At 44.6% G+C, this 26,069-nt stretch overlaps 1 protein-coding gene across 19 annotated transcripts in view, besides 1 other annotated feature; it reads right to left on the bottom strand.

The window, feature by feature from the left end:
• The window catches only part of SETBP1 (SET binding protein 1), a 388,438-nt gene that overhangs the window by 207,376 nt on the left and 154,993 nt on the right, over window positions 1-26,069 (bottom strand). The gene's annotated exons all lie outside the window — the stretch shown is intronic.
• Window positions 21,517-21,666: an enhancer, noted in NCBI's record as "active region_13257". NCBI's record gives its function as "activates an Ori minimal core promoter by ATAC-STARR-seq in GM12878 lymphoblastoid cells {active_cell/tissue: GM12878}" and the evidence as "EXISTENCE:reporter gene assay evidence [ECO:0000049][PMID:35858748]".

Genomic DNA, 26,069 nt, shown 5'->3' with positions numbered 1-26,069 from the left:
TGAGAGGCACTGAGGTGGGAGTTCCAGGCTCTTAACCCCTCTTTATTCAGAATAACATAACTTTTACTGGTATATTGTATTGGACTTCCATGTTAACATCTATTTAAATTAAAGCTTTGTAAAAAATAAATTTGGCAAATCCATATTTTAACAGAGAAGGATACTACATACATGAGCAAGCCATTCTCAGTGCTAATAGAATTTACCTGGGGAAAGAGAATTAAGCAGCTTATCTCTGTAAAGATGCTAAGATAGTCGTCTCCTACTAGGAGTGGATTGAACACATGACCAGACCTCATTTTAAGACCGTACTGCCTTTAATATGTGCATGAGTTACTCATGGGGAAAATGCCTTCCCTTTCTTTCTTTATACTTTTTTTTTTTTTTGAGATGAAGTTTCACTCTTGTCACCCAGGCTGGAGTGCAGTGGCACAGTCTTGGCTCACAGCAACCTCTGCCTCGAGGGTTCAAGCAATTCTCATGTCTCAGCCTCCCAAGTAGCTGGGATTACAGGCACGCGCCAACATGCCTGGCTAATTTTACATTTTTAGTAGAGATAGGATTTTGCCACATTGGCCAGGCTGGTCTTGAACTTCTCAACCTCAGGTGATCTGCCCACCTTGACCTCCCATAGTGCTGGGATTACAGACATGAGCCACTGCGCCTGGCCAATCTTGCAGGCAGTATGCCTGCTGTCTTCATCTGAAGTTCTGCAAGCTACATGTTTTGGAAAGAACAACTAATGTAAGAAAAGAGGAAAGAGCTAAAGATATGTTGCTTCTCAGGAGCACAATCTGGGTTGTAGGTCCTTTCCTTCCAACAAAATTAAGAAATCACATTGCAAGCATCTGTGGGCTGTTTCCAAAGTCCGTAAAAAGCCAATAAAGGAGGATTCCCTCCTTGAACATATGCCAAGCAAAGCTGGGTGCTGAGGGAATATCCACCCTCGCTTTCCTCTTCTTCTCATCATTTACGGAATTTCTGCTTAGAACTGACCAGATGATCTGCTCACTTGGCCCAAGATGAGTATCAAAGCTTTCTAATTCATCCCCTTGGTGAATCCCAGGAAACTGATTTAAATCCCTGGGCTCACTCAGTGGCAGAGAATGGAAAAGTCAGAAGGTGCTTGTTTCAGAGAGTATCTGAGCACCGAAGTCAAAAGCTCTGCTCCTCAGCTTAGTGGAGCCAATTTGGCAGAGAATCTGGGTCCCTCGGCCAAATCTGGAGCAATTAATCATGATTACAGGTGGGCATCCGAAAGGGATAAAGCCAGGCAGAACTCAATGAACTGAACCTTGTAGTTGCAGGTATTCATAACTTTTATAATTGTAAAAGTTGCAGGAAAAATAGGAGAATCTCCTCCAGAAAGCCCACCTTGAACTCTTGGCTATTATAATATGAAAAGTCACTATGATTTTTCAGGACCTACTTTTGCCTGTTCTTCTGTCTCAGGACCTACTTTAGCCTGTTCTTGTACCAGGTAGGTACTTTAACTTCATTATCTATCTTAAATTTCACACTATCAGTGCAAGATAGTATTATTTTCTCCAGTTTATAGTTGAACACACTGAGGCTCAAACTGCTTAAATAACTCACCTAAGGTTATGACAGCAAAAAGTGGCAGAACTGGAATGTGGACATAGCTCTGAATCATGGAAAGTCCAGTTCTCTGTCTCAGCCATCCATGATCCCCTTGGGAATCCCTTCATGGAAGGTTGCTATCTCCCTCCCTACTCTGCCAGGGAGGCAGCCTGGTCCCCAGGGACATTGGTACCACTGCCAGCCATGCCTCAGGTGACTCACCATGCAGGTAAAAGTCAGACTTTCCATTAGCCCCATGCAGCCCCACAAGATAGGCATCTAAGGTATTGTCTCTGCCATCTTGATCTCCCCTTCAAATTTTTCTAAACTCAAGCTGACTTTGTTCAAAGGAGTTTCATTCCTAAATCTGGGTGACCAAAGGATTTTGTACTATACACTGCTATGAACATTGTTAATTATCATGTGTATCTTCTCTCCCCAAACAAGTTTACCCTCTGTCCCTTCCCCCTCCTTCCCCCAATCCTTCCTTCCTTCCTTCTTTCCTTCTTTCCTCTCTTCCTTCCTCCCTCCCACACTTTTTTCCTTCCTTCCTTCCTTCCAGCAATGGCATGCCAAGTTCCAGACACCATCACAGATGGTAACCAATAATGGGAAGGAGATAGTTGCATCCCAAGAAAGAGTGATATCATGATCATATAGGTGGGCAATTATTACTTTTAATAATATTAAAGTGTATTATAACTTTTAATAATACAGAGAAGTAGAAAATCCCAAGTAAGCCATCTCTATTACCACAGGTATGAAACATGCTATTGTTTCATCTTCAAATCCAACACAGCATGAGATCTAGAAAGAGCACAGGTGGCAAGAACAGTCTTGTGCCTGACAGAATGAAGGAGCTGGACAGCAGGATGCAGGGCCTTCAAGGAAGACAACTATCTTCACCAAAGAGAAGAGAGGTGAAAAGCAAGCTCTTCCTCTCCTTTGCAAAAAACAACCTTCACAAAATAAATATTTTAAAATATAGTCTTTGTCTATCAAATACTTCTGCTAACAGTTTTTATCAGAAATATTACTGAGTATTTTCAAAGACATTAAATCAGGTTATTTGCTTGTTTATTTTAATTAGCCAACTGGAACTTGCTTGCTTGTATGCTTTGCCATTGGTTGAAATGAAAATATCTTTGAACTGCTATTTGAAAACTGTGCAATCAATTTGCAATCCCTTCCACAGATGGCCCTGCTCTTGCATTAGTGTTACTGGCATTGCAAATGCCAGGATTCGGTCCTGCCACTCCTTAGCATTGGGAGCTCTTTGAGGACTGAGACAGCTGGCTGTTTTCAAAATGATTCTTCACCATTGAAGATACTCTGCAGAATCTGCCACAGCTTCTAAAGATGCTCTCAGTGCATTAGGCAAACAAAACATCCTTGGAAAACAGGACTAGATTCTTCTCATGACAACTTCCAAGGAAGTCTGGCTCCTTGGCATGTATACTTCCTCGTCCTTTGTTAAAAATCTCCCTCTTGTGTTTCATACCTTCTGGAAACAGCTTCTGGAAGCAGCTGTGTCGCCAGAAACTCTCCTTTTCTGGGCTATGTATGTGTGTATTTGCGTCTCATACAATCCTGCCTCAACCAATCCATTTGCTAAAAATAATCTCCATGATTTCACTCTCAAGAACTCTGTGCTCATCTCACAGAGGTATCTGGAAATGAAGGTTTTCTTTATGCCAAAACATCTCAGTCAAATGTGGATTAGATCTCCCCAGACCTCTTCTCCAAATAAGATATCCTTTCATTGTTCTCCCTGAACTCACACGTATGCTTGACTCACAGTCTACCCATTTTTGGCCAAACCTGTCCAGAATTTCTGGCTGATTCAGTTGGGGGATAGCTCTCTATACATTGCCCACTGAGACTGAGCAAAATGAATGTAACACACAGATCCTACATCAGCAGGACTGGAAGTAGCTGCGAAGTTAGTCTGAAAGCCCTTTAGTAATCACATGCCCAAACCCTTTATTTATAGCACAAAGAAGGGCCCACCGAAGGGACTGGCAATGTTCACTTTTGCAGACACACTCAGCAATTCACTAAAAGTGCAACCTTGAGCAAGTCATATCCCTGCAGACCCTTAATATTCCCCACCTCTAACATGAAGAACTCTGTACAATCCTTTCTGATCTGACAGCCTTTGAAACTGGATAGGCTATGGATGGCTCTGACACTCACCCAAGGCATTATCAGGCTTCATACACCTTGTCTATTACTAAAGGGAGAGATTACCTAGAGTCCACTTGAGGAACAGATAACACAACAAAAGTGGTGGAGTGGTAGGGCTCTTGACGTAACAGGAGTTGGCAAAGCCTATCTGTATCTCTAGGAAGAGCCATGCCCTCATCTCTCACTGTTCTTTCATAGAAGAAGAGGTTTCATGTTTTCTCCACAACCCTTTCTACTTAACTCTAGTTTTAATAAAGAACCCAGTATTCGTCAATTATACCACAAATGCTGTGCAACTATTCTCAGGATTTCTGTTTGTGCTTCACTTATAACTAGATAAGAAAAATTGGAGAACTCAGCTCTTTTGATAAAGAGAAATTCCAGATCTAGAAAGTAGAGGTGAGGGAGGCTCATAATTTGGAGAGCATAAGAACCGTTGCTACACGGGGAGCTATACAAAGCAAGGGTGGCTCCAGGAAAGAAGAACATCAAGAAAGTGGAAAAGAATACCAACTTCTTTCCCCTCTCTTACCTTTGCCATATCGCAATGAAAGACATGTGCATGTTAACAGCAGTGGCCATTCTCTCTACTCACTCTAAGGCTTTCCTCAACCTCATAGGATATTAATAAGCACTCCAACTATAACAAACACAGCTTATTTCCACATAAAATTTACAAGAGTTTTGCAATAGGGCTGCTTTAAATATTTACCCTTTCAATCTATTGAGTGCAAATGGCAGGCATTCTTGATAATCAAGTCACAGGGAGTCTTGTCCTATTTCAAGATATAAAGCATTTTTAATATAACAAAAGTAGTAAGATATGAGATTGATAAAATAGCTTTACTCCCTCAACCTAGAAACATTTCAAAAGATGATCTCACATAATCATCCCAACAACAATGAAAAACAGGAAGGGCTGGAAACTTCCCTGCTGGTTTGACAGATGGAGGAAATGAGGCAAAAAATCGGGCAGTGACTTGCCCAGGGACATGCTCTTGGCTTTAGAAGTCTTAGCATGGAAGGGATAATCCAGACCAGCCTTCCTCCAATGCAGGAATTCCCTTTTCCACCTTTTCTGACAGATGGGAGCTCAGCTTGAGCACTTTGGGGAAGTGGCACTTGCTATTTTAGTGACACAGCAATAGCCCTTAACAAGTTCTACCTTTATGCATTTGAAATATGCCTCACTGAAACTTGTCTCTCTAGTTCTGGGGAGCAGGAACTAATTGCTTTTTTTTTTAACCTTCATGATCTTCCTGTGAAATAGGGAATGTGAACCTCATTCTACAGACTGAAAAAAAAAAAAAACAAGATGGATTAAGCAACAGCTTCTAGGCCCCATGACTGAAGTTAGATCCAAACACCAAAACTAGAGGACTCATCCTCTCCCGTTGCTCCCCAGTCCTGCCCGTAGGCACACGCTACAGCCTGTTTATTCCAGTAGCCAGCCTCTGATCCTTTGATGACACGCCCAGGCAAAATATCCCAAGTGCTTTCAACTTTTTCTTCTTGAACACGGATCGCAATGCCATCACTCATCATCTAGCTTATAAAAGCCTTCCCCTCAATGTGGCAGGCAGATCTGAGCACACCATGCCAGTGAGAGTAACTGTAACTAACCAGTCATGTGCTGGAAATTCTTCAACAACTGGCTCTCTGGGTGGGGGAATCACCATTGTGAGGCATTTGCCAATTTCCATAGTGTAAATACTCCCAAGATGTCAAGCTACTAGCCTGAAGTCACTGATTGCAGAGTTGGAAAGAGATGTGCCCATCTGGCTCTTGCCACCTAGCATGAGTTGGCCCCAATGCACCACTGGTGTGTTCATCAGCCCGTCCACTTAAGACATCAACTAGTCTGGAATTCAGTCCAGGTAACTTGTATGGAACAGGGCATCCCAACAACTTCAGGAATCACCATGTCCTCAGTGCCAATCCAGGTGTGAGGGTAGTCAGACTTTTGCACGGAGTTCATGTGAAAGATGCCAATGAATTCATTACATAAATATTTATTTTTTTAGGATGTAGGGAAATAGCAAAATGAAAACAAAAACAAAAACAAAAAACAAACAAATAAAAACCCCAAAACGAACCAAAAAAAAACCCAAAGTCCTTATTCTCAATGAGACAAACAATGAAGTAAAATAATAACAATAAACAATAACGATCATAACACTATAACCTGTTAATTATAATAAAAGAAGAGAGAAATAAAGCAGAAAGAAAAAGCAGAGTGGGGGATATGCTGCTTTAAATAAGCTGATCAGGGAAGGCCTCTCTAAGGAGGGAATGTTAGAGTGAAACCCAAATGAATGAAAGAAGGGAGTGAGCCATCTGGTATTTGGGAGAAGAGCAATCCAAAAGAGGAAATAGAATGTGCAAAGTTACTGACATGAATAGTACTCAAAGTGTTGGTGGAACAGCAAAGAGATTGGCACCCTAGAGCAGAGAAAAAGAGCAAGGGCAGTGGTAGGAGGTGACAGCAGAGTGAGGCCACATCACGTAAGAGCCATTAGGTCAGAGCTAAGAGGTATAGGTCATGGTGCATGAATGACTCTGAGAGATATGGGGGGTAATATGGAGGAGAAAAACCAATGTGGGGCACAATTTGAGATACACTGAAAAAAAGTGCCCACTGGCTGTTTTCTTAACAGCCCCCAGTATTTGCTGACTGATTAGCTATGGCATGAGAGGTTAAGACAGGAGTGAAGGACGATGCCAAGGGTTTTTGCCTAAGAAGTTGAAGAATGATTTTTGTTGACGTTGGGAAGATTGGAGTGGGTAGGTGGTAGGGTAGGCATGGTCAATAGCCCATGAACATCTTGGTTTGGCTCAGTGCTGGGAGCCTCAATGCAGAACACTAACACACAGTGGGTTTGTGGGCTGATGCATAGCTTGTCTTGGCTGCAGCACTACATACATTGAGGATGTCTTAGGGAAGGAGAATCAAAAGGTGTTTGGGATTGACCCACCTTGTAGAACACGTTGAGAAATCTGCATTATTAGGAATTCAAGATGTACCTGAGTAAATCCCAGATAAACGCAGTGAGTCTGCTACACCTGGACCTATTCCAGTGGGTCTACATGTCTGCGAGTTTCTTTGGAACTGAAGATTCATTTCCCCCTCTCATCTGCTTGCTACATTCATTCTGAATTTCAACTTTCTCTTAGGGAGCCCCTGCAAGTGCCAGGCCTTGTGATGCATTCTGGGGATACGCCAATGAACAAATAATATATAAGCCCTGCTCTCAGGGAACCCAAGAGTCTATTAGGGGAGACAGCATTTATTTTGAATATGAAAACCAAATATAATTTAGAGCTGTGATAAGTTCAAGAAAAAGTAATGAGAAAAAAGGTATGGGTAGGACAAAAGAATTAATGAAGACCGGTCTGATGTAGAATTTGAGAGTGGTCAAGGAAGGCTTTCCTGAGGAAGTGACAATAAAGCCATCCCCCAAAGGATGAGTAGAAGTTGCTAACTGAAGAGCTGTGGGAGAGGCACTTCAGGTAGATGGAACATCATGGTGAAGGCTTCTGGCAGGAAAAAGTAATTTGCACGTTGGAAGAGCCCCTGCAGTTTATAATGTAGAAAGAGGACTAGACTGAGGTTAAGACTCCTGGATTCTAATCCAAATCCTGTCATGACCTAGCACTGTGACCTTATTCCAGTTACTTATCATTTCACATATTCAGCTCAATTTATTCACTTGTGCAGTTAGAATGCAGATGGGGCAGTGTGTTCTGCAAAGTAACACATGCTTAGTAGCCAATCATACTCAAGTTCAGATATGAGCTCTTCTTAGAAGCTGAATCTCAAGTTTCTGTTTATCATCCATAAAAGGTGGATAACATTAGCTACCTCATAGGGATGTTTGGATGGGGATGTTTCGATGTCTGTAATGAGACAAAGGAGTCAGTGCCTCATAAATATGAGTTAGTCTTCCCTCCATCCTGTGATATCTTTAAGGGGTATGGCGAGGCTCAACTTAGACCACTAAAATGAGATCATCAGGAGAAGATACTGTACCACATTAACAGATGAAATTGTTGGTGTTAAACTTTGTACCCTTCCTCTCCCTTACACCTGGCCCTCTAAATCTCTTCACATGGGAGAGCTGTGGGCAATGCGGAGGGGCTTTGGCTATTACCATGGGCAAGTTGTAAGTGGCCACCTCAGCATAAGGTTGGCAACTTGCCTTCCTGGGCTTAGGGCAAAGGTGGGCAGGAGGTGACTGGAAATGTTGGCTCTTCTATGAAGCTTTTATTAGAAACAGGGAATTCCCCAGTGCTCTTTCAAACTCTTTTGGCCAAACATTAAATGCCCCAAGGTCAAATTTGTTAGTGCATCCACCAGCCCAGAGGACTCTTGGCTTTGGGGTTGAATTCCACTTATCTCCCTTCCCTCCCTTAAGCCTTGCAATTTAGCCAAGGCAGCTGCTCATACCTCATCAGCCCTTGAGTGGTTCAGTCTGTACACAAAAATAGACACACATGGCAATCACTGCTTTCATGGGGCCACCATTAGAAATTAGATACACTCAGGACACTCTCCAGTGAGGGGAAGGAGAAGCTGGTAGATGCTTACATGGCAGAATGACAGAGCTTGGGCTGGTCCCCAAAGAACCAGAATGGGTATCAAAGGCACCCAGGAAAAGCCATTTTACTTGCTTGAAATTCAGTTTCCTTATTTCTGAAAATAAGGTCCTCCAAATCCTGGCTAGCTCACAGGATTTGGGGGAAAATAAAATGGGATGGAGGCCATGAATGTGCTTTATACCTATTATACCAATAAATGATATTAGTGAGAATATTATTATCCCTACCAGCCCTGATAGATCACATGGCCATATATGGGGCATAGAGGAGGGGAAGAGCCCCCGGACCCTCTGGGGATTCATTTAAGCAGAGCAGCTGTTGTTTGACCCATGGCTGCACACCCAGCTTCATGGGAATACGGACGGACCAAGCTGCATGTTTGCAGCAATGGTGCAGAACGTGGGGGCACAACTGCCAGAGTATAGCATGTAGGTGGGCCATGAGGAGATCTCAAAAGAGGCTGAGGGCACTGAGGTTACTGATTTCAGGGCTCATGCAAGTTGCCTTAGTTTCCTCTGTGTCTCTGATCACTGCCTACCACTCAGAGGAGCCCCTGAAGGTGGTGGGCTGAGGGCTGGGCGGGGCTGATAGCTGCAGCCTACCAGCCTGTGCCTGTGCATCTCATTATTGAGCGGGGCTGAATCAAAGCAGCTCTGTGCAGCTGCTGTCCCATTTAATCCATTTGTAATCAAAAGTGATTAGGATGGATGCCTCGGTGCTGAGGTTATTGTGTGTGTGATCAAAGCTGAGGCTCTTATTCGCTTCCTAGAACCGCCTGCACCTGGGAGGGCGTGGAAGGCCGTGAGCCTGGGGCATGGGGCAGGCAGCTGTTGGCACTCAGAAAGAGGGTGGGCTCCAGGAGCAGAGCCCAGGGATGGCAAGTGTAGCCTCGCCGGTGTGAGGCTTAGCAACCTTGAGGAGGTCCCCAGAGAGGCCCATGGCCCAGGTTTCACCTCTGGAGGCTAGCATTCCCAACCTAGAGAATGGGGCAGATGGCAGACTGAAAGCAAGCAGGACTCATTCAATGTTAGACTCATGAAGGATTCTAACACTCTCTCATCTTATTGAAGAGGACAATGAGATCCAGAAAAAAAAAGCATATTATGTGCCTGGCTGGCACTTGTGTGTGTAAAAGGAAGGAAAGAGAGAGGGGAAAAGGAAGAGACCAGGAGAGAGAAAGGGACAAAGGAAGTCACCTGAAGTGATGCACAGCTGGTACAGAGACCGTGTAGGCTCATGCTGGGAGAAGAAAGAACAATAAAGATGCAAAGGTGGCCAGAAGAGCTGAGTCCAGGTGTTTTACCAGTTTATATGTTTCTTTTGACCACCACTTCTGGTAACTTTCTGAGTTGCATTTCCCTAAAACAGCAAGATCTCAGCCCAGACCTCATCCTCTATTTATAAACTCTGCCTGAGTAAAGTTTGATATCCCACTTCTCTGTGCCAATCCAGATCATAAACATCACTACCATCCAAATGAAGACTCACCTCCTACAGGAAGCTTTCCTGGGCCCTCCTTCTCTGAAATGGTCTACCATGTTCTATCTATGCCACTTATTTACCACTTAGCATATACTGTCCTTCAGATGGCTCTTGGGTTGAAGGGTAAATAATTCCTTTAACTTTTGATGATGATAATGATAATGATGATGATGATGACAATATGTGCCCCGCTTCATCAGCCAGACCAAAGGTCCAGAGGACAGCTGTTACATAGTGCACTTCAGGACCCCCTCCACACCTAACAGAATAGATCCCAAGGTTGAATAGATCCTGTGTCTTTGATAGGAGACTGGGAGCTCCTTGAAGGCAGGAGATAGGCATTTATGAGTATGCACCTGTCTCCAGAACTAAGCACTCTCCTTGGCTAGAATAGACAGGTGTCTACCAATTGGTGAATAAAAAACACAAAGGGTTTGGAATGAACATCTACTGTGATTTAATTTTGACATGGTCAGTGAGGCTGCCTAGAGGTCTGGGAAGCAGGAGAAGTTGGGGAACCAAGAAGCCAGGAAAGCTGCTTCTTTATACAAAGGTTTTTCAGAGCAAAGGAGTTGGGGGATTTTCCACCTATTCCTGATATAAGAAGCCATCTGGTGCCGGGTGCTGTGGCTCACACCTATAATTCCAGCACTTTGGGAGGCTGAGGCAGGCAGATCACCTGAGGTTAGGAGTTCGAGACCAGCCTGACCAATATGGTGAAACCCTGCCTCTACTAAAAATACAAAAATTAGCTGAGCATGGTGACGTTCGCCTGTAGTCTCAGCTACTTGGGAAGCTGAGACAGGAGAATTGCTTGAACCAGGGAGGCGGAGGTTGTAGTGAGCCGAGATCCCACCACTGCATTCCAGCCTGGGCAACAGAGCAAGACTCTGTCTCAAAAAAAAAGAAAAAAAAAGGAAAGAAAAGAAGCCATCTGGGCCGAATTAAAGCTTTGTACACATGACCTGGGTGCATGTCAATGCTGGGTGGGACTGACGACCCCCTTGAGTGAAGGGGAAGTCTAATCTCTCCACATGGACAAGAGTCCTTTGTGAGTTGTATGCATTTTTAAAGATCCCAATGGGTGACTGGAATGCAAATTCCATGGTATGTCATGAGTTAATGTTGCAGTTTTTATCACTGATTTAGTGCTAAAGAAACATTCCAGATCCAACTTTTGGACAACATTGTGGGGTCCTCTGCACCAAGAATGATCAAGTTTTGGAGGTGAGAGCCAAGGGGGAAGATTCAGGAACAATTTAGAAACATTTGCAATAGAAGCATATACTAAAAGAACTAATCTTTCTCTTGCTGAGTTCTATGTCATGTTGGAAGATAACCAAATACCCCAAAAGAATAAATAATAAATAATTACTCAGTATGGAATAGGTGACTGATTATAATAATAAACTTTTAATAAATGTTCACATGTGCCAGGTGCATCATATAAATCTTGTTTATTCCTCACATTTCTTTTTGTGAATAGACACCGTAATTCCATTTTGAAGGTATGGGATCTGAGGCTCAGTGAGGTTATGTCATTTGCTCAAGACCACACAGTTAGAAAGTGATGAAGATGAGAGCTGAACTCCTCTCTCTCTCTCTCTCTCTCTCTCATCCCAGTGCTTGTGGACTCTTCCCCATGGCCTTCATCACTTGTGGCTCAGTCACACTTCAGAGAGGGCGTCACGGATGTGCTACTGCCATGCAGCATGAACAGGGCTGACACACCCCGCACCCACCTCACCGCTTGCTCACTCACACTTCAGTGCCCTGCCAAATAGGGAAACCATCCCGGGCTCATACTGCTGAAGGAAACATTAGGGCATATTCACATCGAGTCCTCTTGTTTTACAGATTAGTGCACTGGAGTTCTAAAAGGTTAATCACCTGCTCAAGATTGTAAGGCTAGTTAGTGATAGGACCAGCCTTAAAACTTAAGTCTCTAACTCCCAGTTCAGTGCCATTTTTATTGAATCATGGGATCTGGGAATAGAACAGAGGTTGAGAAGTGGAGGTATGGAGGTATCTGTCTTTTTGGCATATCATTACACGGACAAGGCTCTACCTAAAAGGTCCCGAGATATTTTACTAATATGTTGTCCACAGAAGCATACGGGCTCTGTGCCAATTTCCTCCTCCCAGCAGCAGATGGGGGACGTTCTGGCACAGACATCCAGTCAGTACACAGCATGTTGCATCCCCACAGCCTTTACAAGGCTATGGTATTAGGGACTTGTAATAATAAATGCATGAGAATGGGGAGAGCAGGTGGAGATTTTCTTCCTTGATTTTTGGAAATCCACAATTTCAGCTTAATTTGTAATAGATAGTGAGTGTCAGGAAACTGACAACAGGGCCATCAGCTATTCTGTTAGTAATACTTGAGGCCATAGCACTTCAATATGACTAGAGCCAGCTGTGCAATGCACAGAGTGACCTCTGGCCCCATCCTTGGAGAAATGTAATTCTCTTCATGCCTCTTTCCGTCCATGGGGAGTTAGAAGCCAGACCTGCCGGAATCATCGGGAGGCTTCCGAATGACAATGCTCAAATAAGCGGAGATTATGCATTGTCAGAAATGTAATCTGCAACCCTTCTCATCTGTTTCATTGTGTTTGCATTGTTTAAGTTACCTCTCCAGGAAGAAATGAGACAGTTGGGGGATTTCTCTGTACTTGCACCTATAGATGAATTTATCTTCTTCATCTAAAATGCCAGAGGAGAAATTAAAATGTGGTGAGTTCACAGGTCTTCTAGTTTTGTGACTTCTAGCCCACGATATGTGTATACATGTCTCTTCTCAACACATATAACCCAACATGGCTTAGCCATGTGTATTTCCATATGAGCAAAGACAGCTTTTCTGCAGGCCACTTCCCAGCCTTTGATGACACTTCCATAGGAGGGCACAGACCCAGGTGTGCTAATCTGCTCATTTCGCCCCCTCCCCCATAACTCTCTAGTGGCCTTCCATCAATTGTAATAATATCTGTAATTTTTACCATGAGCTTTAAGGCCTTCCCCAAACTAGCTAAGCCTTGCTTACCTCATCTTTCCCACCCCTGCATCGCTAGCTTACTGGGCTTCAGCCACACTGACTCTTTGCTGTTCTTCTTACCCAGTAGTTTACAATCCTAGTTACTTGCACTATAGAATCACCTGGTGATTTACATAGGTTACACACACACACACACACACACACACACACACCTTCAGAGAGTAGAGATGTTAATTAAACCTATCTAGGGTGAGGTCTGGCCCTGAAGCATTTCTGAGAGTTTCCAGGGTCATTAAGATGTTGAGCCAGGGTTGAGCTTTCAGGCTCTTGTACTTGCTGTTTTCTCTGCCTGGAATGCTCTTTCCTGGGATGCCTGCCTGCTCCCTCCCTAACTTCATGCAGGTCATGACATGGCTCAGAAAGGCCTTTCCTGGCTAGAATCTCCAAATCAGCTTGTGTTCCTCTCCTCTAGCAAGATCTATCTTCTGGACCCGGCTTATCTTTGTAGCATGATCTCTAACTGGCATTTTATTCTATATTTGTTACTCAATTATTGTGTATCTCCCTTCTCCTACCCCAGTCCCATCCCATTTCAGTGGAAACTCCAGAAGTACAGGGACTTGTCTTGTTTTATTCAGTGCCCTACCCCCACAGTGCTTGACACATTGTAGGGGCTCAAAAAGTACCTGTTGCACAAAGCAATGCATGCGTGTCTCTACATCAGGGAGCTCTACTTTGTGTTTCTAGCCCTGGAGATGGGCTTGCTTCGAGCCATTCCCACTTCCTCACACAACTGCCAAGTTTGGATGCTCAGCCACTGACCCCCATGTTCTTCTGAGGGTTCTTTCTTTGCAGGTACTGACCAAGAGCTGACCCTGGATTCCTTCACTCATCCCAGAAGGCACGGAGGAAAGGATGGAGATGCTAATGTAATAAATAACCATCCAGGCACCGTGGCAGAACTGCGTAAGGCACTAGGCAGACAGGCATGACCTGAGTGTCTTCTGGCTGAGACTGGCTCCATTGGAAAACAGAAGGCCTCAGAAGTGAAGAAGCAAGAATTGGACTGCTAAACAGACCCTATGGTGAGCACGCAGACTGGCCCTAAACCATGTTCTAATCACTGTAGTGTTATGCCTATTCTTAACCTTCCTTCCCACAGGGTTCCAACTCTAACATATTTATAGGCTGTGTTTCTTCTCCTCTATCTAATATCATTCTAGTTTTCATCCTGGTGCATTCAGGAGGCCCTAGTCTGGCCATTTCAGTTACGTTTCTTTGCGTGACCGGGACCACCCCTGCCATTATAGAGCTCTCTGCAAAGGACAGCACCTTTCATGCACTCCCAGCCTCAGCCCCATGTGGAAAAGTTCTAGACAAGTTTGGGAGATGGTAACAGCCCTTGAGACTCATTCAATATATTGATTTGGAAAAGGAGAGACTAAAACTGATTTTGACTGGGATTTCTATAAAATATTGGTGGAACAGTTATTGAAGAAGTTAGGGCTAATTGGTAAGTATCTTTGGAGGCAGACATCCTAATCCCACTAGGCTTTGGAAGATTACTCTAGAATGTGGACTTGGTCATTCAACAAACACTTCCTGAGCACTGGCTGTTTACTAGAGCAATGGGTCATCCATGTGCAGGGCACTTCCCTATTTCTAGCTCAGGAAACTCAAACTCTGGCTGTGCCTAATCACCTGAGATTCTTTTTTAACATATAAGGCTCAGATATTTCAATTCACAGATTCAAAATGGAACTGGGCACATGCTGTATATGACTCCATGTATAGGAAATATCCAGAACAGGCAAATCCATAGAAACAGAAAGTAGATTAGTGGTATTCTAGGGTTGAGGAGAGAGGGAATGGAAAATGAGTATGAGTTTCTTTTGGGGGGTTGAAAGTTTCTGGAATTAAATAGTGGAGATGGTTGCACAACTTTGTAATACACCAAAAACCACTGAATTGCACACTTTTAAGAGTGAATTTTGTAGTATGTGAATTATATCTCAAGAAAAGATACTATGGGAGCATTAAACTTTAAAAATAAAGGAGCAAAACTAGATATCTGGATTATTTTTAAAAAATTCACAGTTGAGAAGTGTGGCCTGAGCTAAGAACCACTGTTGTTACTTCCTAAGTCATCACCTGGCTTCTCTGAGAGGAGAGACTGCAGCCCATTAAGGATTGAGCCATGGGCAACAGGTAAGAATGTGGTTTTCCATTTCAACATGAGGAGCCTTGAGTTTCCAGGCTGAGGTTCAGAGGCTTCTGCTCTCAGGCACCACCAGCCTTCCCCTCTGCTAGGCACAGAAGGAAAGCCAAATTCAGACACAGCGTCACACAAAGCCAGTTGCCCTCTTCTTATTTACCCTGGGAAGAGGTATTGCTTCCATCAACAGGGCTCGCAACCTGAAGACCTTGATAGAATTTCTACATCGATTCCCTCCCACCATCCCCCAGGCAGGTTTCCCTCTTGAGTGCAGGGTAGGTGGTAATTAATTAGAAGTGGTCTCCCTGGAGAATTTAGATAAATGAGAAAGTAGCAGTTAGGGGCCCGGCCTTGCATGGAACAAGCCCTAGAGAGAGCAGTGAGCCAGCTGCCCATGGGGAAAGGCCTGAGCTGCAGGGCAGAGAGCATCACGCCCCCTGGCAGTGCTGGATGCATGGAAATGGGCCAAACAGATGGGGGCCTATGACCCTAGAGACCCCCAGCAGCAGTCTTCCTCCTTTGAATTCAGTGCACTGTGCAAACCAACAAGGAAATTAATCACCCAGAGACCAGAGACTGAGTGCAGAAGGGCATCAGGCAAAATATCTTGGTACCCTAAATGGGAATTCAGCTCTCTGGCACCATGTAGGTTAATGAGATGAAGTGTGAAGCCTCCTGTTTCCTGGAAAGTTCTCTGTGTGTAAATTACTGCAGTCAGGCAGTTCCAAAGGGGCCGAGGGAAATGAGGAGAGTGGAAGGGGGCTGGATGGTTCCTGAGATTCCAGGAGATGTTACTGTGGAAGAACCATGACACAGGAACGTCATTTAACTGAGAGCATGGAAACTAACTTAGGGAGAAGTAGCATCATCTGGCCCAATAACCACACTCAATCAAACCTCTTCGGCTCTGAGTTTTAAAGAAAATGAGATCTCTGTCTCTTCTCTAATTACTGCAAGAGAACTCTGGCAATCACCCCATAGTGAAAGGGAATAGCCACATATCACTCTTTTGTGTCACTCAAAACAACAACAACAAAAACTCTTCCTCACATAATCACACCTTGTCTGTCACCGATTCCCATCAAGACCCTCCTCTCCATCAAGCCAATCTCTCTCCTGGCCCCAAGCATGAATGTGAATAGCACACCGTGTTTGAAAGCAAACTTTTCCTAGACTCTTGTCTACCGGCCTGATGCCAAGCTCAGCCCTCCTCTTTGTCTGGTGCAGGAAGCTTGTGTGTGCCTTGAAAAGCCTCCCTGGACAGCAAGAACTTCCAGCAATCTCCACTTCTGAACTTGGAAGCTTCAGTCACCGAGAACCCTCATGGAGGCACTTAGCACATGCCGCCTTGCTGAGCTGTCCACCTAATTCATGTCTGAGCCTGCCCCTCCCGCTTGTTGGTAAGAGCCTGCAGGAAAAATCCCATGATTTCTCATGATCGTGGGTGGAGGCATGATGAGGGGAGGCTTTGGAGCAATCCAAACTGACCTCCAATCCCAGCTCTGGCCTTATTAACTGTGCCTTTCTGAGCAGACTGCAGAATTTCTCTAAGCTTCTGCTTTAACCTCCTGCAACACACTCAGGTTCCACACACCTCCATGCATGGTCTCCAGAGCACACATCACTGCATAAGACAGTAAGAAGCAGGAAGTATGTCTCTCTAGTTGAAGTCAGAGCAATGCAGTAGGGTTTTAATAGTGTGTGTGTGTGTGTGTGCGCGCGTGTGTGCACGTGTGTGTGTGGGGTGGGGCAGGGTGGGGAGAGAAGGTGGGAGGAGAGACCCAGGAGAGAGAAGGAGGAGTTATATGGGGGAAGGGGGCTGATATTCCTCACAGCACTTGCACAAACTATAAATCAAACAGCACACAGCTGCTGATATCAAATATATTCTCCTTTTGCAGCACATCAAAAAGCTTTAATTAACAACCAATTTATTTGAGGGAGAAAATACGTTCCCTCATCCCAAATAACTGTATTATAAGGCAAAGAATAGATCCCATTTTCCATACACACATGTAAAAAAAATGACAGGAGTGAAAATTGAGCCTTTGGTAAAAAGATAAATAAAAATCTGGATCAAAGACAAAAAGAGTTTGTGAACCTGAGAGGGCAACTTGGCCTAAATGGAGACTTAATTTGTGGAAAATAACATCCTCTCTCTGTCTGTTGGGAGGACACTCTGATAAAGATGCCTGTGGAGTTTAATTGTGGTGGTTTGGTCCTGGGTTTACAGAAAATAGTCAGTGCAAATGCACTGAGACCCTCCCAAGCCTGACTGTGTGCCTAGCCTCACGTGAGAAACTGATGGATAAACCATGAATCACCTTTCCCGCTCCCAGGAAGCCATACTCCCTACTGCCTCCACATGCCTGCACTTCAAGGGTGGCCCCTTTGACTGGAGAGGCATGTGACCCACCAAGAGCCACCTGGGAGGGGTGCATGACCACTGTGGGGACCCTGAGGACTGCGGCTGGCCTGGAAGGGCAAGGCTTTCAAGCAGGACCTGAGAAATGGGTGTCAGGAGAACCCTGCTCGGCCACTAACTTCACCTGGCTCCCCAGAGGAGCAACTGAGGAGACTCGGTCTTCCCACCTGTGAAAGGAGAGAGGCTGCACGTTCACACAAGTCCTGTGAGGGCAGTGGGTCATCTGGGGAGCGGCAGGAACTCTCCAGCTGATGGTTGACAGAAGCCAAAAATCTAGTAGGGGTGTGGTGTGCATGAGTATGTGGGTGAGAAATCTCTTTATTTTCAAATGTTGACAAATTTTGGTAAAACACTGAGTGGTTCAAAGGAGAGATGTCTGTGGGATGACTGTGGCCCTCAGGCCCTCAGTGTGAGGCCTCTGTTCAAGTTGCAGCCAGAGGTGCCATGCCCCTCTCACAGTGTGGCTGCCTGGGGAGCTGTCTGCTCATCATCCTCCTTCCCAGGTCCCTCCCCTGCAGCTACTGCTTCTGAGCAAAAGAGTTGGCAGGCTACAAAAGGTCTGGCTTACTAGGGCCTGCATGGCATAAGAGCAGCTCTGGGCTGAGCGGCCTGGCTGCTATCGGTCTCTTTGGTTGACCAGCTGTCAGACCCTGGCTTTCCTCGTGTATAGAATGAAGGGGAAGCCCCAGGAGTCCCCCCATGGCTCTGCCAGCTCAAGGGTCATGGCTGATGACCTCAGCATCTTCCAGTGGTTGTGACTAAACAGCCAATGGAAATCCACATGAGGGATCAGGGCTGCATCTGTAACAGTTGGTTCCTCAGATGGAAATTGAGGGCAACAGGTAAGCAGGGTGTCCAAATGGAAGTCCACCCACAAAACTAGAGAAGTGTGTACTGTGTGGTCCCTCCTTTCAGCTTCCTCCCACACACCTCCTGCCTCTGCCACCCTTGGGTCTAACCCTAACAATCCATGCATTCATTGGTAAGCTGTAGTGGGTTCCCTTTTGCGAATCTGTAGACCATGCAGGACTCCCAACCAAAACCAGTTGGCTCACACATGATGGAATTGCCCATTCCCTGTGGGGCACTGTGGGATATTCTTTGGGGAAGGCACCAGATTGATGCCCTTCAGATTCTATGACCAGGGTAGTCACCTGCTCCACCTTGTAGTAAAGCTGTCCCCAGGGAGCAGGGCTGGGAAGAGTGAAGCTATAGGGCTTTCCTGTTTCAATAAAATTTGACAATTTACGGTAATTTGGTTGTGATTTAACAATGCTTTTAAAAGAGGAAGTAAATGGTTCATAATGTCCGGTGACCTATTTGCTCCTGTGTGCTTCACCAGGCCCTCCCCCTGAGCTGGTGCCCTTCACATGTCCCAGCCCTCCTGGGGAAAGGCTAGAGATGAGCCTGGGGCAAGCACGGGAAGCCTGATGCCCACCATCCAAGTGGCAACCTGCAATGTGCCTCATTTCTCCCTCTGTCTTTCTCAGTCCCTCCTGGACACTCTCTTCCCATTTCCTACTTCCTCGCTCTCTTCTTTTCTTTTCTCTTTACCGAACAATAAAAGTTGAATGGCAATGCAAATCTCAGTCTCTCCTTAAAATCCCCAGCCAGGGAGGCAGCATGTCACCCATATTTATGAGCTTTAAATGGCTTTTATCAAAGTGAGGTCGCACTAAATCACGCCCAAGCTGTCATAAGTACAAATGACTCGACATAGGCTGCAACAAGCCTTCGGGGAAAATTATATGATGTGCTGCTGCAGTTATGGTATATCACACAGGGAGCTCATATATTTCCACTGGCAAGGTAATCCGATCCTTCAGAGAACTCTAATAGGTGAAAAGAGGTGATAAGTCAGAGAGAATCACAAAAGGGGTGAGATGGTCACATGCCTAAGGAACGAGGGGCCCTTCCTTGGATGCTGATAAGCCAGCTTAATCATAGGAAGAAGGTAATTGATGGGATCTTAAATATTTCATGGGGATTTCCTTATTGAGAGTCAATCAATTAATTATGAGACTAGTTGATGAGGCACTGAACTAGCAGTCAAGAGACTTGTAGCTCGGGTACTACATGGAGTCACATGAGTTTGGCCATGGATGGTTTTCAAATAAGTCCACAAATTCTTTGGTACTCTTCCTCTCAAAAGGTGGAGCCTAATCCCTTTCCCCTTGAGTGTGGCTGGCTTTAGTGACTCATGTCTAGTGAATAGATTGTGGTGGAAGTGAGGGGTGTGATTTCCAAGACAAGGTCATAAAGGCATCATGACTTTCTCCATGGATAACTCGCTCTAAGAAAAGCCAGCTCTCTTGTTGTGAGAACCCAACAACTCCATGGAGAGTCCATGCGCTGAAGAACTGGAGGTCTCCTGCCAAGAACCGGGAGGAATTTGCCAGTGTGTGAATGAGCCACCCTGGAAAGGGGATCCCATAGACCTATCACACAATCAGATGACTACAGCCATGGCCAACATCTTCCTTGACTGCAACTTCATGAGACCATGAGCCGGAATGACCTAGCTAGGCTGCTCCTAGATTCCTAACTGATAGAATATCTGAGAAGTAATAAATGCTTATCGTTTTAAGCTACTAAGTTTTAGGGTAATTTTAATGCAGCAATAGATAGCTAATACAGGGTGATTAACTTAAACTCTCTAGGTATCAGTTTCCTTACTTTTATGTTAAGGATGAACAAATCATAAGTTTCCAACCCTGGCTACATATTAGAATCACTTAGAAGCTATTAAAAGCATTTAATACTCAGGACCTATTCCAGACCAATTGAAAGTGAGTCCCTGGGCATGGGGAGGCCCCAGCATTGACATTTCTAAAAAGCTCTCCAGGTGATTCTAAAGGTACTGCCAGAATTGAGTACCAATGAACTAGATGGGTTTTTTGTGTTCTAAAATACTTCTTACAATTTTACAAAACCCTTGGCAGTTTCAGGAACTGGGAACGTGAGAGTTGGACCATTTCTTCATTCCCATCTCCCTCTCATTACTCCAGATGCCTGGACACTGTCCAGGAGAGCCAAAGACAGTTTCTTTACTCCAGCTGGTGAAATCTGGCCCAAGACAAAGAAGTGTATTTTAAGATGTAAAATGTCATTACCATAAGGATGAATCTTGAGAAATAGGAAAACAGCCCAGACCTGAGGTGAGCTGGCAATTGATCAATTCCCTTATCCCACTGCATGAAGAGAGTTAAAAGTGGGCCATGCTTGGCTTAGCAGAGTCCTTTTGCAAAAGAGGTGTGCTATGCCACTAAGCATGAGCCCCTTGCAGAGGTAGCGCCATGTCACTGCTGGGATCTAGCAAGGGTAGTCATGCTGGTGAATTTGAGCCAAAAGGCATGCTGGCTCATTGGCTGCGAGAAACTAAACAAGTCAGTTCATGTCTCCAACTCAGGGTCCACATCTGTTAAAGATGGAAATTATATATTTGCCATGTTGACCTTGCCAAATGGAGGAATGAGACAATAAACGTTGTAAGCCTCATAAAGAGAAGTGTACACATGGCAGGGTGCAGGGTGCTCTGTCCCTAAATCATGAACAGCCATGGAGAGAATTCGACCATGCACAGGCCTCTTCTGGGGAAACAATAAACACTAAATGCATAAGTCAAATAAAATAAAAAGCAATGTGGATCAAGAAGACAACTTGTTCTCAGAATGACCTCCTTCTTACGTTTTCCTGCTCCTGCTGCTATCAAAAATTACATATCAATATGATTGTTCTCCACCTGCTCTTCCTAAGGAGGTGCAATCACATCCCTCTGTACTATTACTGGGCATTCAGCAAATATCAAGTCTGAGTCCTCCTTTATCTGTCCATCTATTCATTCCACAAATGTTTATCCTGTGCTTACTGTACACAGGTACCCTTAAAACCCATACAGGGAAGGAGAATGCTTATCCCATCTATCTTTCATCTCAGACCTCCACTTATCTGGATGCCCCTCTTTGGTCCTCTACCTGTTGTTATGCTGTTAGAGCCTAAGTAGTCTGGACACTTTGTAATACTGCACATTTACCTCAACCTTGGTGTTATTTCCAGTGCTGGCAGCTCATTCTGCACAGTATACAACTGGACTGCCAAGAGAATGGAAGATTCATAGCAGAGGGCACGTCCCATGGTTCTCCATCACATCTGTAACAATAGCTGAGAGTCCGGAGATGCTCAAAGAGCCAGTGCGGGCTAAGGGCAGCCTCGCAGCAGCAGCAGCAGCAGCAGCAGCAACACCCAGGTTTGCCTAGCATGCTGACTCATTCTTCTTCCTTCCCCATTCACACACCAGTCTGCCCATCCCCCGGGGTGACGGAAGTGGAGAAACAGATTAGACTTTCTATTTTGGCAGAATGTCTGCTACTTCCCTGGTGGCTCTTCACCCTGATCCCACCAAGGAGCACAATTTCTGGGGTTCATCTACACTCGTAAACTGTTTAAGACACTGCCAGCTGAGCATTTCAGGCCCTCCAGAAGCAGTGCTTCCCAGGTCTCTCATCTGTCTATCCTGTAATAGTTAATTCTTTAGAAAGAAGCAATGAGAAGGCTGGGTTTTTTTTTTTTTTAAGATATTAAGAGAATCATTCATTGCTGAGAAGTCACATCAGGGTCTCATCCTTCAAACCGACAGTTGAGTGTGTATCAGCCTGAGAGAGAGCCTGATTATTAGTTTTAAAGAGCTTATTTCATTCTCTTAAAAATGGGATCAGTTCATCTTTGTCACATCTGTCTCTGCATGGCTCCTGCATGCCACAACAACTGTCAGCTCCAGGCATTACGTTATTAAGGTGTAGTGTGGGGTGGGGCTGAGGGGGTCATTCTGGGTGTTCCTGTTTTCCGAAAAAGTGAGCAATGAGATTCAGAACGTAAGTAATTAAAAGGGTTGATTTGCTCACGTGCATTCAAGAAAGAGCTGAGAAGACAGTTTCTATCCAGCCCACCCCATACCCCATTGGTTGGAGAAGGGATGAACTGGGGCTGAAGCACTTTTCTCTTAGCGGCAATAAGCAGGGCCTTGGAGTAAACTGTCCTAGTAAGGAATGATGTAAATGGTACACCTGTCATAAGCATTTGTCACCTTCACACCCCAAGGGCTACCTAGCTTTGGCCAGGTGACAGATGTACAACTGCAGCAAGGGACCCAGATGTTCCCAGTATCTGGATAAAGAGCATCTTCATGGTGTCCCAGCTCCTTCCCATTCTGTCATGAATTACAGTAAGGGCTAAGCTAAAGTATCAGATCAAAAAAGGGTAGAATCTTCCACTGTTCTGGCATATATTGAAGGCTGTCATTCACATCCATAAGAAGACACTGCGCAGGGTGTGAAGCGAATACAGCTCAATACTAAACATCAATACAAAAGGAGTAGATAAGCAGTAAGAGACTCCTACTCTGAAATACAGGATGGATAACATGGAGTAGATAATAAAATGCTAAACTGAATATAGCTGGGTGTTAAATGTGGCTCACAAAATGTTTTAGAAGTGACTGAGGAAGCAAAAGGACAGAGCCAGGCATGGGCTGCTCCAGGCTGAAGGACTTAGAAGAATCCTTAAGCCTGGGATCATCTTCATTACAGAAAGGAGGAGGGAGACTCCACCAAGCATGGGTCAGCAAGAGAAAACAAGCCACAGTGGGAACGAGCCCTGAGAATTGTGGAAACATGGCCCACCCAGTCAGTTCAAGAGAATGGTGGGCAATTCAGCTGAATTCCTCTAGTGTGACTAGAGGAGATGTGTTTGCATATGTCTCTGTATACACCCACGACTGTAAGGCAGATAATCTGAAACGACAGATAATCAAAACATCCTTTAGTATATATCTATGCCCTGGAATTGATATGGATAGGTCAGAAAATGTAAGGCTTGCAACACTTTCCAAGAAATAATGAAATGCCTCTAAAGACCTGAGTCAGGAGGAGCTGGGCAGCTGTCATGCTCATCCTAGGAATGCATGTGTCCCTCCCAGCTCCTTCCTGCAGCAAATGGACCGCATCGCCTCTTAGGCTGAGGCAAAACACCTGCATTTTCCAGTGTGCTGAGGCTGAGCCTTTCTCCCACCCCATCCATGTGATGCAAAGACAGCATTTATGTGATGACTATGTACAAGGGCATATATTCTTAGTTTCTGCGGGACTAGAACATTCAATAGTCCTGTATCCGTTATCAAATAAAAACGATTTCATTAAATTTATTTTAATGCATTTAACATACTTCATACATTTATAAAGGTATTTAAATAAATGATTTAGAAAGAAAAAGGCTTGCTATAGATGAAATCACAATGTTGATAATTTACTAGCAAATAATTGAGTGTTGATACAGGGACTAAGACTAGCCTCCTCCAGGAAGCCTGACTGACCCTCCTCCAGCCAGAATGAAGCACTCTTATTCTGTGCTCAGTTCACACTTTCTACTTGCCTTATATGGACAGTGTCAGCTGAAAAAAGGAGTGCATAGCAAAGACTGCCCACCTTGAACAGGGACTTGTATCCTTGGCTCTTACGTGGTGTGGTGACCACCAGCACTGCTGGTTATGAAGATGTCAAACAAAGTCCTTAGCCCATGGAGCAGAGCCCTTCCTGCCCTTTGCAATCCTTGGTGAGGGCTGGAGTGTACAAACAACTCAAAACATTAGCATGAAAAGTTTCTTAAAGAAGAAGTGGAAAGAAATGGAGATAAAATCATGGCCCCATACAGTTGCAAAGAAAAAAAAATAGGGATGTAAGTGACAGGGCCCCAAAACTGCAGTGGCTCAAATAGAAATATAACAAGATGTCCTTGTTCCTCACAGGCTGGAACATGAGCAGAGAAGCTGCTAAGAACAGATCACAGCAAAACCAAACTGTTGCTGGAGCTGGAAGAACCAAGGACAAACACCTGTCCCATACTGCCCCAGTCCTCGGTAAGTTCATCACTGTGGAGTCCTTTTTCTCAGCTGCCAAATAGACAATTATATACCTGTGTAAGCCTAGAATTTCCCAGACTAGTATTGAGAAGCATCAAAAACCATGACGAAGAATTAATTTGAAAAAGTGGGCAACCCATGGTTGTCCAGAAACTTCAGAGCATTCTTCTAGACTAGGGAAGAGTCAGAACTCAGAATCCTAAGGAAAGAGTGGAGTGGAGTAGAGTGGAGCAGAGTGGAGTGGAGTGGAGAGGCCCCTGGACTCTGCAGCTCTGAGCTCCAGCACTAGCTTGGCCTGGCTGGGCCTAAGGGCACTTCCAGTTTTTCCATTCTATGGCTTTAAACAATCTGACATTTTTTCTTGGGCAGCAATAACGTTGAACCAGAGGTATGCTAGACAGAACCTAACTAGGGAAAAGGCATGAGACTCTAATAAAATGAAGGCAGCAGGTTAAGCAAAGAAAATAATGGAAATTTGACTGCAGTGTGTTTATAAAAAGCTGATATACAATTCAGTGTTTGTGGATCAAACTTTCCTGATTCGCTTGGTGGCAGAAACCAAATTGGAAATATGGAAAGCATGTAAATAACATTTACAATAAAAAAAAAAAAGCTTATAGAGAGTAAGGAAATGATGTTTCTGAATGCACTCTGAAAAGTTCAAAGTATCGTTCCAATGGACAGGATCGTTGTCCGTGGCCAAATGCTTCACGTGATTAGTTGCCGGATCAGAAGGCCAGGCAGGCTCCCCTGGCTGCAGAAAGAGGCCTTAATTCCAAGAAAGCTCCAGGACAGAATGCCTTTCCTCTTGAATAGGACTTGAATTTTCATTCTTAGACATTCTTACTCTAGGAGTTTTTGCCCTCAGGCCTTCTTTTAAAAATGCAAATGCTTCTAGGAAGTCTGCCACATTTAACTAATTCATTCCTAGGTACAGAGAACAGGTTGCCAAGTGGACACAGAGTTGGTCTGGAAGTCACAGCTTTGCTCTGGCTTGGCCGTGTGAACTTCACAAACAAACCACTTGACCTTTAGGGGCCTCAGCATCTTCCTATGGGAAAGAAACATTGAGCAGCCAGACAAGGTGGATCCCTAAACTCTAAAATGAGATTCTTAGACGTATTAAATGTAGGGTTGCCAGATAAAATATAGGACAATAGTTAAATTTGAATTTAAAATACTTAAAAATTCTTTTTTAGAACTATTCATGGGACAAAAAAAGTATTAGTTGGAGTCCTGTATTTTTATTTGCTAAACTTTTGCTTAAATCTTAATCAGATGGGCTTTTATCTGGAGAGAGATTTCAGCATGAGCACAGGCAGGGAATGGGAAAAAGCTGAGGGCAGGGAGCAAAGAGGACACAGTAGAGAGACTGTCAAACACGACGCTGCCTCCTTCACAAACCTTTGAAGGCTGGCTTAGTTTGATGATATTGATAAAATGCACCGCACCCAAGGGCCTCTTCGAGATGCAAGAGCTGTAGAGCCCCTCCCTTGGAGGGGAGTGGCCCCAGGGAGAGCTGTCCTGAGCACTGCATGGCTACTCCTCTGTGACCTGACCCTGTGCTGCTTCTCCCAACCCAGGGACCTTCCTAAAACAGGACTTCTGTTACCTCCCCTCATCCTTAATACTCTTCAATGGCTCCCTCTAGCTGCTCTGTAAAATC

The sequence above is a fragment of the Homo sapiens genome, chromosome 18 (assembly GCF_000001405.40).
Source record: "Homo sapiens chromosome 18, GRCh38.p14 Primary Assembly".
Taxonomy (NCBI): Eukaryota; Metazoa; Chordata; class Mammalia; order Primates; family Hominidae; genus Homo; species Homo sapiens.
This window is presented reverse-complemented; position numbering and strand designations above follow the sequence as displayed.